We start from the raw sequence: 12,707 nt of genomic DNA, 5'->3' as shown, positions 1-12,707 counted from the left end.
CATGTCTCAGCTTCCTTTTCCTGCCTTATCTCAAACTATTCTCCTAAAAATTCCTACTCAGGTTAAATTGATTTTCCTGGTGTTTCTCAAGCACATTTCATTTTTTTCTTATCAAAAACGTTTAACATGTTCTTGGTCTCCATTTTTTGGTGCTTACTTCAGTTTTTCTTATTATCCATGAATTTCATCAAAATTCTTGTTATTTTTTCACATGTGGCTCAAGAAACCCTTAAATTCTTTCTGCCCCCAGCCAGAAATACTGGCTCTCAGAGTAGCCATTGGTCTATACCACTCTTGAACATACTTTATTTGTTTAATAGCGTGATTATTAACTTTTATAATTACTATTTATCTTTGTATACTTTAATGCCAAGTCTCCAAAACAAGAGATCAGGAACATATCTTACATTTCTCCATACATCTTTCAGTACACAAAATGTCCCGTGTTTAACAGAACTCAGTAAATACATGTGGCTAAATTCTAGAGCTGGAAGGAGACTTGGAGGTCTGGGAAGCTGATGAGTTGGGTGGCTGTTTAATGAAGCCTGAACTAAGGGAGACTTCAGCCCTGTGATCCTAGCTGTGTCCTCTAAATAACAGATTTTGACTAACTGGCTTTTACTAGCACATATCATTGAGTCTGATTTATAAAGAAAGATGTATAGCATGGGTGAATAGTTTGAAGCAAAAATAAATCTAAAACATGGCTAAAATTAACCTGCGGAGAAATCTTTCCGCAGTTTGGTGGTCTTGAAAACTCAGCTTTTGATTAAGATTAATGTTCCTGATTTCATATTCAGTAGAAACCCAGGCTGACGATTCGTCATTTCACTTATCACATGCAACACCACTGCATCCCAGCAGGTGACGCTGCTTCTCTGCAGAATATTTTTCCTGGCGCTTAACAGCCTTTCCAATTCTCACAAGCTCTGCTCCTGCAAAGGCCTGACCCAGAAAAGCAATTTTAATCTTTTACGTCAGTAGAAATAGGAATCGCTTATATTTAGTACATATTCCTTGCTAGACACGCGTTTCAAAGAGCCAGTTTTGGTTTGTTTTCCTTTGAATATTTCAGACCTTGGAAGACTTGGGTCTTCCCTGAGCCCTTCCCACATCAAGGAGGTCTTTCAGGTACTATCATCAACTGAGACTGAGAGGGCTTGAGTAGGTTTCGAATCCCACCCCTTCTTTCCACATGCGAGCATCTTGAAGCCCAGATCCCCTGTCAATGTCATTCATAAAGTCAAAGGCAGAGCCAGGGGTCAAACTCCTCTCAGTCATCATCACTGTCCCACCCTGTCTTGGCCCTTACCCCGCTCAACAGAACGGGGCATGCTGCACCCTAAACTGTAATGTGACAAAAGCCAACACTGGTCTCAGTCCAAGAAGCCACTCTCCGAAAACAAGAGAGCTTTGGTAACATCATTGTGTGTGTGTGTGTGTGTGTGTGTGTGTGTGTGTGTGTGTGTTAGTGTTAGGGATTCTCTTTGTCTCATTCCTCTCTGTAGCATCTGGTCTGTGATATTCTCTTTGTCTCATTCCTCTCTATAGCATCTGGCCTGTGATAAGCCCTCAACAAGGAAGGAAAGGAAGAAGGGGGAGTGTGTTATGGGCTGAATTGTGCCCCCCACAAATTCATAGGTTGAAGTCAGCCCCTGTATCTCAGAATGTGACCTTTAAAGAGGTGATTAAGTTAAAATGGGGCTTTTAAGGTGGGTCCTCATCCAATCTGACTGGTGTCCTAATGAGAGAGGAGATCAGGACATGAGGAGAGACACAGGTTTTCACAGAGGCAAGACCCTGTGCAGTCAGCAAGAGGGCTGCCATGTGCAAGCCAAGGAAAGAGGCCTCAGAGGAAGCCAACCCTGCTGGCACCTTGATTGTGGACTTCCAGCCTCTAGAACTGTGAGAAAATACATTTGTGTTGTTTTAGCCACTCAGTCTGTGGTATTTTATTTTATTTTATTTTCCTTTATTTTATTTTATTTCATTTCCTGAGACGGATTCTCACTCTGTTGCCCAGGCTGGAGTGCAGTTGTGTGATCTCAGCTCATGGCAGCCTCTGCCTCCTGGGTTCAAGCAATTCTTCTGCCTCAGCCTCCCAAGTAGCTGGGATCACAGGCATGCACCACCATGCCCGGCTAATTTTTGTATTTTTAGTACAGACGAGGTTTCACCATGTTGGCCAGGATGGTCTCAAATTCCTGACCTCAAGTGATTCGTCTGTCTTGGCCTCCCAAAGTGCTGGGATTACAGGCGTGAGCCACCGTGCCTGGCCTGTGGTATTTTTTTATGGCAGCCCAAGAGAACTAATATAGGAGAGAGGGAAGAAAGGAAAGAAGAGAGGAGAGGAGGGGAGGAAGGGAGGAGAAAAGAGGGGAGGAAGGAAGGAAGGAAGGAAAAAGAAGGGAGGAAAATAAGGAAGAAAGAATAGGAGAACAAAAGCAAAAGAGGGAGGGAGGAGCTTGGTGACTTGTAGCAACTCCTAATAACCAGTGACATCTGGTAGATCTGGAGATGATTCAACTCGGTTTAGAGCACTCTTATAAATAAGATATAAAACACTTTCTGACCAACTGAATTATTTCGTTAGCTCTTATTTCCTCCTATTTCCACTCAGACAATAAGTTAAAAAATGAATTCAGTGGCTTGTGTATCTGGGTGTGAATAAATCTTCACCTGCCACTTGGATGAGATCTGGCAGCAGCGGGCAGACATCATGGCAGCTCCCTGCATTTCCTCTGCTGACATCGTGGAAACTGCCCATTTAGGAGGGCAGATGGAACGTGGAAGTTTTTGGGAACAAGTCTATATTCACAGTCAGAAAAATTCCAGGAAATCCAAACACATGGTTTTATTAGATTCATGTCTAGAATGAGAATTATTACTCTAAGTAGAAGCAGAGCCTAAGAGGCTGTGGCCCCAGACAGGAAGTATAGCCTCTCCTATTTCTGACTCAAACATGAATTATTGGCTTTTCTTTCTTATGATACATCTAATTTTACAGGCAAAGCCTAAATGACCTGAGTTTTAGTTCTGTAATTTTCCTTCAGACCCGGTTCCTCCATGGGGCAATGTCTTATGCTGTGGATCTCACTTGACCTCCTTAACCGCCCCCCAACTCACCTGTCCTATGTCCCATTCCCTCTGGATCTCGAGAGTTGGTGAAATACATTGATCTGAACTGATGTGATAATTCATGTCTTAGAGAACCTATTTGATTATTACCACAGATCTCCCGGAAATATAACACTTTAGCTCGGGAGTTAAATCCATTCCACCAGTGGAGATTTCTAAGGGAGGTCCCTTTGTATCACTTCTGGATTCCATTTGGTTTCCTGCCAGTCATACCACCTGGGCACCCATATGGTTTCGCAAATGAAGGAAGAGATTGCATAAGAAAAATCGTTCATTTAGTAAGCACAATTGAGACCCTACTAGGTGCCAGGCACTGTGTTGTCAGGAGCTGAGGCACAAAGACCAAGCAAAAATAGGTCTGCTCCTTGAGGGAAGAGACAGACTTTTTACTGCAGAGTGTTGAGTGGTGGGATTGGGCGGCTGTCTTAGGGGGAGAAAAGGATGGATATCAGGGTTTTTAAAGAGGTAGATTGCAACAAATGGTAGCTGCCCAATGCCAATGGAGAGGGAGAGGACAGAATCAAAGATGACTTCCAGTTTTATTTTGGAAACCAGGTGGATAGAATAATGTAGCTATATAGGGAAAATCATAGTTACACAAAAGCAAGTGTGTGTGCGTGTGTATGCACGTCTATGCTTGTGTGAGAAAATGTGAATATGTTGGAGAATGGGATGGTATATTTTCAGTTTAGAAGACTAATAGCTTTTTTTTTTTTTTTTGAGATGCAGTCTTGCTCAGTCACCCAGGCTGGAGTTCAGTGGTGCAATCTTGGCTCACTGCAAGCTCCACCTCCCAGGTTCACGCCATTCTCCTGCCTCAGCCTCCAGAGTAGCTGGGACCACAGGTGCCTGCCACCATGCCTGGCTAATTTTTTTTTTTTTTTTTGTATTTTTAGTAGAGACAGGGTTTCACCGTGATAGCCAGGATGGTCTCGATCTCCTGACCTTGTGATCCGCCTGCCTCGGCCTCCCAAAGTGCTGGGATTACAGGCGTCAGCCACCACACCCGGCCAGAAGACTAATAAGTTTAAGCCTAAAAAAATGTAAGCCTCAGGAGACCTCATTGGTACCAACCAGAAATACAGTACGTATCACCCTCTTTAACGTAGCCTTACAATTTTAATCATTAAGAGACTAGGCTTGTTTTTTTTGTCCACTCTGTATGAGGTCAAATATGCACAGTTCTTTCATTTCAAGCTCTTATAACTAAGAAAAACTGTACAGATAAGGACTGTAAGAACAACTGTGCACACACGTAATTTGAATTTCATGCAATTTTCAGGTCATAAAACTTTTTTTTTTAAGCATTAAATAATGGAATATTCATTCTTGGGTCATGGGTTGTACAGAAACAGTCAGTGGGCCAGATCTGGCATAGGGGCTATAGTTTGCTCACCTCTGCTATAAGACCATGGTTAGAAGTAATGTGTTTTCTAACAGCAATAGAAATTTGTTAAAGGGGTTTAAGGAGGTCTTGGGGGAGATTTGTGACATAATTTTATTCATTTGTAAAATGAATGAAATTTAAGAATATTTATGAAATTCTTTTTTTTAAAAAATAATTTCAACTTTTATTTTAGATTCAGGGGTTACATGTGCAGGTTTGTTACCTGGGTATATTGCATGATGCTGAGGTTTGGGATATACTTGATCCCACCACCCTATAAAATTGTTTTCCAAAATGACTTTGAAGACTGTATGGAGGAGGAATGTGAGGGGCTATGTGTGAAAACAGAGAGGCACCTTAGGAGTTTGGAGTGTGAAAACAGAGAGGCACCTTAGGAGTTTGGAGCAGTGGTCCGAGTGGCTGGGTGAGGGTGTGGTGGGATCTATGGAGCGTAAGCAGGGCAGCTGCCTGCCTGCAGAGAGAACTAACAAGGGCTCAAATCCCACCCTGCATCAGATTCGGGCTGGGTCTTTCTACACATCTCTTTATTGAGGCCAACTGCAAATCTCCACATTTCCTCGAACATTCCTATTTTCAGCTTTCTAGATGCCTGAAATTCTTGCCTTGCTAGTCCCATATTTCTGTAATGAGCATTGTCCCCAGAAAGCTCTTGTCACCTAGGAGATTGATATACTCACAAACTGAAAGAAGCAAATTGTTTGCCACCTATAATTTGTCAGATAATTTGGCTTTAATACTTGAGAGTAGATATCATGGCCCAAAAGGAAAGAAGGAATGATGCATTTTGAGTGGGTGAACAAAGGGAAGATGAGAGCAAAAATGGTCCTCTTTTTGGGAAGCAATGGCATGGGTGGTACAGGAGAAAAGAAATAAACATTGACTGTTACAGGTTGCATTGTGTTCCCTCAAAATTCATCTGTTGAAGTCTGAACTTCCAGTATCTCAGAAAGTAATTATTTGGAGATAAGATTGTCAAAGAAATGATTAAGTTAAAATGAAGTCTTTAGGGTAGGCCTTAATCTCATGTGACTGCTGTCCTTATAAGAGGGTATTAGCAGCCAGGCATGGTGGCTCATGCCTGTAATCCTAGCGCTTTGGGAGGCTGAGGCGGGTGGATCACCTGAGGTCAGGAGTTTGAGACCACCCTGGCCAACATGATGAAACCCCGTCTCTACTAAAAAATACAAAAATTAGCTGGCATGGTGGCACATGCCTGTAATCCCAGCTACTCAGGAGGCTGAGGCAGGATAATCGCTTGAACCCAGGAGGCAGATGTTGCAGTGAGCCAAGATCGCTCCACGGCACTCCAGCCTGGGCGATAGAGCAAGACTCCGTCTCAAAAAATAATAATAAAAAATTTTTTAAAAAGAGGAGATTAGGACACAGACGTGCACAGAGGGAAGCCCATGTGAACACACAGGGAGAAGGCAGCCATCTACCAGCCAAATAGGCAGACTTTAGGAAAAGCGGATACCTTGATCTTGGACTTCTGGCCTCCAGAACTTTGAGGAAGTACATTTCTGTTGTTTAAGCCACCCAGTCTGTGATATTTTCTTATGGCAGCCCAAGCACACTAGTACATGACCCAAGGGCATGCATAGAGATGCTGCTTACTATTATGTAGAGATTCTTTGAGCCAGAGTCAGTTGTTTGGTTTGTTTGTTTTTTGAGACAGGGTCTCGTTCTGTTGCCCATGCTGGAGTGCAGTGGTGCAATCACAGCACCTCACTACACTGCAACCTCAACCTCCCAGGCTCAAGAGATCCTCCTACCTCAGCCTCTTGAGTAGCACATGCTACAAGCATGTGCCACTATGCCTAGCTAATTTCTTTTCTTTTTTTTTTTTTTTTTAGTACAGATGAGGTCTCACTATGTTGCCTAGGCTGGTCCTGAACTCCTGAACTCAAGTGATTCTTCTGCCTCAGCCTCCCAGTTGGGATTACAGGCATGAGCCACCACGCCTGGCCCAGAATTGATTGCTATTATGATTTTTCTGAGTATATTAGGACTAGGACATTGCAACAACATTTGTGGGTTTTTTTTTTTTTTTTTTTTTGAGATGGAATTTTTGCTCTTGTTGCCCAGGCTGGAGTGCAATGGTGTGATCTTGGCTCACTGCAACCTCTGCCTCCTGGGTTCAAGTGATTCTCCTGTCTCAGCCCCCTGAGTAGCTGGGATTATAGGAGCGTGCCACCATGCCCAGCTAATTTTTGTATTTTTTTAGTAGAGACGGGGTGTCATCATTGGTCAGGCTGGTCCGGAACTCCTGACCTCAGGTGATCTGCCTGCCTTGGCCTTAACATTTATGATCTTAAAATGCATTTTCTTTATCCCTGTGCGTGTAAGGGGAAAGTGGAGGCTGGAGTATCTCTTCAGTGTGTGCTGTGGAGTACCAAACTAAAGAAAATATTCTTAACACATTCAAGCTAAGTGATTCAGAATTAAATGATATAATTGTCCATTTGTCAGGCTTTACAAAATTGGAGTGACACCACTGTTCTGTGTCAAAAGCAAGATATGTCTTTGCTTCATTTTACTGGTTAAAGATTATTCCAGAGTGCATTTACACCATTCTTCTACGCTGTAACATTTTAAAATCTGTATGATCTTTCTCAGTAAAATATGAAAAATAATTTGCAGTTTGAGCTCTGCTTGAAATGATAGCCATAGGAGGCTAACTTCCTCCAAATCCCTTCTTTCTCTCTCACACTCCTTTTCATCAGAATTTTTTTTAAACTTATTTTTTTTTCAAAACATGAGACTGCATGGCTAAAGGACTCAGTTTTCTACCTGTTCTTGGTAGAAGAGGCTATATGGAGGTAGAAGGAATGCAGAATAAAGAAAAAGAAAAGAATACAAGCCTGGGTGGGTTATTCTCCTTTACCTTGGTTCCCCAGCTCTGTCTTGCACCCTGGTGTGTCCTGCTCTGCACCCTGGTAGGGGACCTCAAGCTCTTGCCGTCTGCTTTCTGGTTGGTTTGGCCAAAGGGAGGTATTAGTAGAGGAGGGAGGTAGGCATGGAGAGAGGTCTGGATATTTTTCTCCCCTGTCCTTGCACACCTTGCCACAGTTTTGGAAAATCCTCTCCCTGTGGCTAGCACTCCCATTGGTTGGTTCCAAGAACAGCATCCTTTCCCTTTGACCCTGCAGGCCTGGGGACCGCAATGGCTCCTGTCTCCTCTGTTGCTAGTTCTTGGATGCTTCCCCATTCCTTGTTGTTTCCCTCAACTCTGCCCACAGCTCTGCAAATAGTCTTCATTAAACTGTTCTCAGTTAAAGCTTTGCGTGTGCTATTGTGGGGATTCTGATTGTAAGGAAAATGGATGTGCTGTGGTCAAGAATAGGCTGAGGCAGACATCTGGTCCAGCATGACTCAGCAAGTTTGGAGCACAGGCGCACAACCCCACACATTATGTAACCACACCATGTGAGGCACATTAGGTGATCACCCATGTGAACTCTTGCTTGGCTTGGAGCCACTATTGTCTGTAAAAGGTATAATTACCCTGCTGATGCTGTACGTATGGCTTGCACCCAGAGAGGGAGTAAAGCCATGTCAAAACTGTCTACGATTCCTTGAGTGTTTTTCCAGCTACCAGCCACTCACCCACTTACTCCCCTCAGACCTCAGTTAGAACCTGACGATTGGTGTTATGAACAGGATCCTGAGCTGTGCTGCTGGAATGGGCTCTGATGGAAACCTGGCTGGTGGTGGATGGGTCCCTCATGAGCATGGAGAAGGCAATGAAGCAACTGGAAGTGCAGAGAACTGAGAAGGAGCGAGCTTTTGCCTGCAGATTTCGATGGGCATTTTTGACTGTGCTACAAGAAGTACACACCCAGTTCCTGAAGGATGCAGTGCAGGTAAGGGCCCTCCAGGTACAGATGGAGCACCCAGGGGCCCAGCTACACAGCTCAGAAAAGGAGTTAGAAGGCCGGGTGTGGTGGCTCATGCCTGTAATCCCAGCACTTTGGGAGGCTGAGGTGGGTGGATCACAAGGTCAGGAGTTTGAGACCAGCCTGACCAACATGGTGAAACCCTGTCTCTACTAAAAATACAAAAATTAGCCGGGCGTGGTGGTGCATGCCTGTAATCCCAGCTACTTGGGAGGCTGAGGCAGGAGAATAGCTTGAACCTGGGAGGTGGGGTTTGCAGTGAGCCGAGATTGCACCATTGCACTTCAGCCTGGGTGACAGAGGAAGACTCCGTCTCAAAAACAACCCCCCCACAAAAAAAAACAAAAAAAAAACAAAGAAAAGGAGTTAGAAGCTGCTGTGAATGGGGACCTCCAGGTGTGGGCAGGGTGCTTGGAGGCCTGGCTACAGAGCTTGGAAAAGGAATTAGAGGCTGCTGTGAATGCAGGCCTGGGTCCATCACGCTCACAGATGTGGATAGATTTCATTTTGGTTGGGGTTGACCAAGAGAAAATTGATAAGAAGCCCAATGAAGTACTCTTAACTTTGTGGAGATAGTTGTTTTCAGAGCAGCAATTCCAGAAATGTCCAAGGGGGAGAAGGACATTGCTGTGCAACCCCGTCCCACCCGGGTGCTGCAGCTCAAATACTACTTGCTACAGCCAGGTGGAGGTGTAAAGCCTTTTCTGTTTGATTAGGGAAATGGCCCAGGTGCCTGGCTTGGGGGGATACTGGATGACCAGAGGCCATATGCAGACTTGGCAATCCACTGGTCCCTGCATCTGGATAAGTTTCCAGGCAAGGCTGCATAGATGGCCATGGAGGCCGGTGAGTGAAAGTGAAACCTGTATCTCTGCACCTTGGCATCGGCCGCTTGGCTTCCTGCTTATGCACTATGTATATCTCTCCCATACCTGAATACATTCTGGGGGGTGGAAGTTTTACACGGGTTGGCAGCTGTGCCGTCTATCATGGGTTTGGTGGACTGCTTGACAACAGAACTGGGACAGTACCCCTATGTAGTGGACTTGGCCAATGCATTCTTCTCAATTGACATTGCTCTAGAGAGCCAGGAACAGTTTGCCTTCAGGAGAGGGCAACAATGGATTTTCACAGTGCTGCCACAGGACTACATGCATAGCCCCACCTTATGTCATGGTCTTGTTGATGATATTATGTTAACCTCTGACTCCCTTGCAGATTTAGAAGCAGCAATGCCTCTCTTGCCTGGGATTGAGATAGTGCGGCTGAAACTGCCTTCCTGGCAGCCAACCGGGCTATTCAGCAGATGCAGGCTCTATGAGTGATTGACCAAGGGTGCCCATTTGAATTTTATATGCATGTGACCACAGATGGGTTTGACTGGGGCCTGTGGCTGTGCATGGAGCACTTTAGAACACCAGTAGGCTTTTGGTCCCAACTTTAGAAGAGAGCTGAGCTCTGGTATTCATTGATAGAGAAGCAGTTAGTAACTACATATACTGCCCCTCAGGCTCATGAGAGTGTGGCAAGATGAGCTATAGTCATCATGCTGATGACTTACTCAATAGCAACATGGGTACATTTATGGCTATGGATCCCCCAGCCTGGGACAGTGCAGACATCCCTTTAGCAAAGTGGGGCACCTACTTAGAGCAGCAGAGTACACTGAGTACAAGCCCCTTAACAGCAGAGTTGCAAGAGGTCTTGGGACCTGTAGTCTTTTTTTTTTTTTGAGATGGAGTCTCGCTCTGTCGCCCAGGCTGGAGTGCAGTGGCACAATCTCGGCTCACTGCAAGCTCCGCCTCCCAGGTTCACGCCATTCTCCTGCCTTAGCCTCCCAAGTAGCTGGGACTACAGGCGCCCGCCACCATGCCTTCCTAATTTTTTGTATTTTTAGTAGAGATGGGGTTTCACCATGTTAGCCACGATGGTCTCTATCTCCTGACCTCGTGATCTGCCTGCCTTGGCCTCCCAAAGTGCTGGGATTACAGGCATGAGCCACCACGCCCAGCCAGGATCTGTATTCTTTTTTTTTTTTGAGACGGAGTCTCGCTCTGTCGCCCAGGCTGGAGTGCAGTGGCGCGATCTCGGCTCACTGCAAGCTCCGCCTCCCGGGTTCACGCCATTCTCCTGCCTCAGCCTCCCGCGTAGCTGGGACTACAGGCGCCCGCCACCACGCCCGGCTAATTTTTTTGTGTTTTTTAGTAGAGACGGGGTTTCACTGTGTTAGCCAGGATGGTCTCGATCTCCTGACCTCGTGATCCGCCCGCCTCGGCCTCCCAAAGTGCTGGGATTACAGGCGTGAGCCACAGCGCCCGGCCGGGATCTGTAATCTTAATGCAAGAGAAGGCCATGGGACCTGAGGCACCCCTAGTCATGGGTCTAGCCAAGGTGCTACTGCTGCTTGGACTGCTGTTGCAGTCCAACCTAGTACTGGCACCATATGGTTTGAAACCGGGTATGGACAAAGTAGCTAATGGGCTGAACTCAGGGCAGTGTGAATGGTGATGACCAAGGTGGTGACACCTATGGTAATCTGCACCAATAGCTGGGCAGTTTATTGAGGCTTAACCTTGTGGTTAACTACCTGCAAGTTACAGAAGTAGCTAGTTAGTCACCATTCCATGTGGGGCCAAGCCATAGGGAAAGACCTGAAGGAGGAAGGATGACCTTCTCCAACCACGTGTGGGGACAAAAGGTAACCTGTTGTTGCCTGCCCCAATGCCCCTAAAGGTAGGAAAATAAAAACCTGGCTTAATGTATAAAGCAGCATTGGGGTAACGTCACCTTGGGGTGGTTGCCCGCCATAACCTGGAGTTGTTGCTCCCTGTAGTACTGCTGTGGCCTCTGGATCCAGGGTTCTGCCCTGCAGGCATGTCTCCCACTAGAACTCCCTTGGCCTACAGGGTGGAATGTAAGGCCTATATGTCAGACCTGTGTGTCCAAAGCCTATGTCTCGCTCAGCCTAGGGGGTGGAGTGTAAGGAAAATGGATTTGCTGCAGTCAAGAATAGGCCAAAGGCCGGGCACGGTGGCTCACGCCTGTAATCCCAGCACTTTGGGAGGCCGAGGCGGGTGGATCATGAGGTCAGGAGATCGAGACCATCCTGGCTAACAAGGTGAAACCCCGTCTCTACTAAAAATACAAAAAATTAGCCGGGCGCGGTGGCGGGCGCCTGTAGTCCCAGCTACTCGGGAGGCTGAGGCAGGAGAATGGCGTGAACCCGGGAAGCGGAGCTTGCAGTGAGCCGAGATTGCGCCACTGCAGTCCGCAGTCCGGCCTGGGCGACAGAGCGAGACTCCGTCTCAAAAAAAAAAAAAAAAAAAAAAAAAAGAATAGGCCAAGGTAGATATCCAGTCCAGCATGACTGAGCAAGTTTGGAGCACAGGAGCACAACTCCACACATTATGTAATCACACCATGTGAGGCGCATTAGGTGATCACCCACATGAGCTTGTGCTTGGCTCGGACCCACTATTGTCTGTACAAGGTATAATTACCCTACTGATGCTGTACATACAGCTTGCACCTGGGCTCACTCGTGCCCAGAGGGAGAGTAAAGCCATGTCGAAACTGTCTACGATTCCTCGAGTGTTTTTCCAGCTACCCACCACTCACCCACTGACTCCCCTCAGACCTCAGTTAGAACCTGACACTGACTAAGACACAGTCATAGCTCAGAGGATGTTTGATTTCTTATCCTGGACACTGAAAGCAGTTACATGGATTCTAGCATACTTTGGCATAATTTCTCCTCCTGCATACCTTATGGGGTGAGGATATAGAATATGTCCCCGTTGCTAATCTCTAAGTGAACTCTGTACCTTTAAATCTTCATGGACAAGCATCCTTGTGGTTTTCACCAGGTGCACTCAATCTAGAACAGGAAGGAGTGTGGATGAAGTTTCTTGTGTTAAGCAATAACAGATGTATGTATCCAGTGCTGTGCCGGTCAATGTTTAAAGCTCAGCTCTGGTGGAGGTGGGGTCTAGGAAGCCCTGATTTGTAGCGTTTGCCATTTTCTGTGGTGTAAATATTTTTACCATGCTGATTTTAAACCAAAAGTGTAACATCATTGAACATACTTTGGGAAGAGATGCTACCCAGCTCTTGCAAGCTGATGCGAACTGGTTCCAGCACCTCCCAGTTTACACCCAGTTACAGACAGATTGGGATAAACACATTTATGTTACAGTGGGAATTTCATAGGTTAAAACATTACAGTAAAGAAGTTTGACGGGAAAGTCATTGTGGGGGTATTATTA

The 12,707-nt window shown here is 45.8% G+C and overlaps 1 long non-coding RNA gene across 2 annotated transcripts in view, besides 5 other annotated features; it reads left to right on the top strand.

The window, feature by feature from the left end:
* The first annotated feature begins 4,139 nt into the window (after window positions 1–4,139).
* Window positions 4,140–12,707, top strand: part of LOC101928277 (uncharacterized) — a 205,476-nt gene continuing 196,908 nt past the window's right edge. Inside the window, exons 1-2 of one of the 2 annotated variants that reach the window (XR_001744364.2) lie at window positions 4,140–4,222; window positions 8,207–8,409. This is a non-coding gene — a long non-coding RNA (uncharacterized LOC101928277). Of the gene's footprint in view, window positions 4,223–8,070; window positions 8,410–12,707 lie in introns of those variants that run through there. The other variant, XR_001744363.2, reaches the window with a different exon arrangement.
* Window positions 9,464–9,553: an enhancer, noted in NCBI's record as "active region_25095". NCBI's record gives its function as "activates an Ori minimal core promoter by ATAC-STARR-seq in GM12878 lymphoblastoid cells {active_cell/tissue: GM12878}" and the evidence as "EXISTENCE:reporter gene assay evidence [ECO:0000049][PMID:35858748]".
* Window positions 9,644–9,703: an enhancer, noted in NCBI's record as "active region_25094". NCBI's record gives its function as "activates an Ori minimal core promoter by ATAC-STARR-seq in GM12878 lymphoblastoid cells {active_cell/tissue: GM12878}" and the evidence as "EXISTENCE:reporter gene assay evidence [ECO:0000049][PMID:35858748]".
* Window positions 9,784–9,863: an enhancer, noted in NCBI's record as "active region_25093". NCBI's record gives its function as "activates an Ori minimal core promoter by ATAC-STARR-seq in GM12878 lymphoblastoid cells {active_cell/tissue: GM12878}" and the evidence as "EXISTENCE:reporter gene assay evidence [ECO:0000049][PMID:35858748]".
* Window positions 9,894–9,943: an enhancer, noted in NCBI's record as "active region_25092". NCBI's record gives its function as "activates an Ori minimal core promoter by ATAC-STARR-seq in GM12878 lymphoblastoid cells {active_cell/tissue: GM12878}" and the evidence as "EXISTENCE:reporter gene assay evidence [ECO:0000049][PMID:35858748]".
* Window positions 9,954–10,073: an enhancer, noted in NCBI's record as "active region_25091". NCBI's record gives its function as "activates an Ori minimal core promoter by ATAC-STARR-seq in GM12878 lymphoblastoid cells {active_cell/tissue: GM12878}" and the evidence as "EXISTENCE:reporter gene assay evidence [ECO:0000049][PMID:35858748]".

Source organism: Homo sapiens, chromosome 6 (assembly GCF_000001405.40).
Source record: "Homo sapiens chromosome 6, GRCh38.p14 Primary Assembly".
NCBI classification, from domain to species: domain Eukaryota; kingdom Metazoa; phylum Chordata; class Mammalia; order Primates; family Hominidae; genus Homo; species Homo sapiens.
This window is presented reverse-complemented; position numbering and strand designations above follow the sequence as displayed.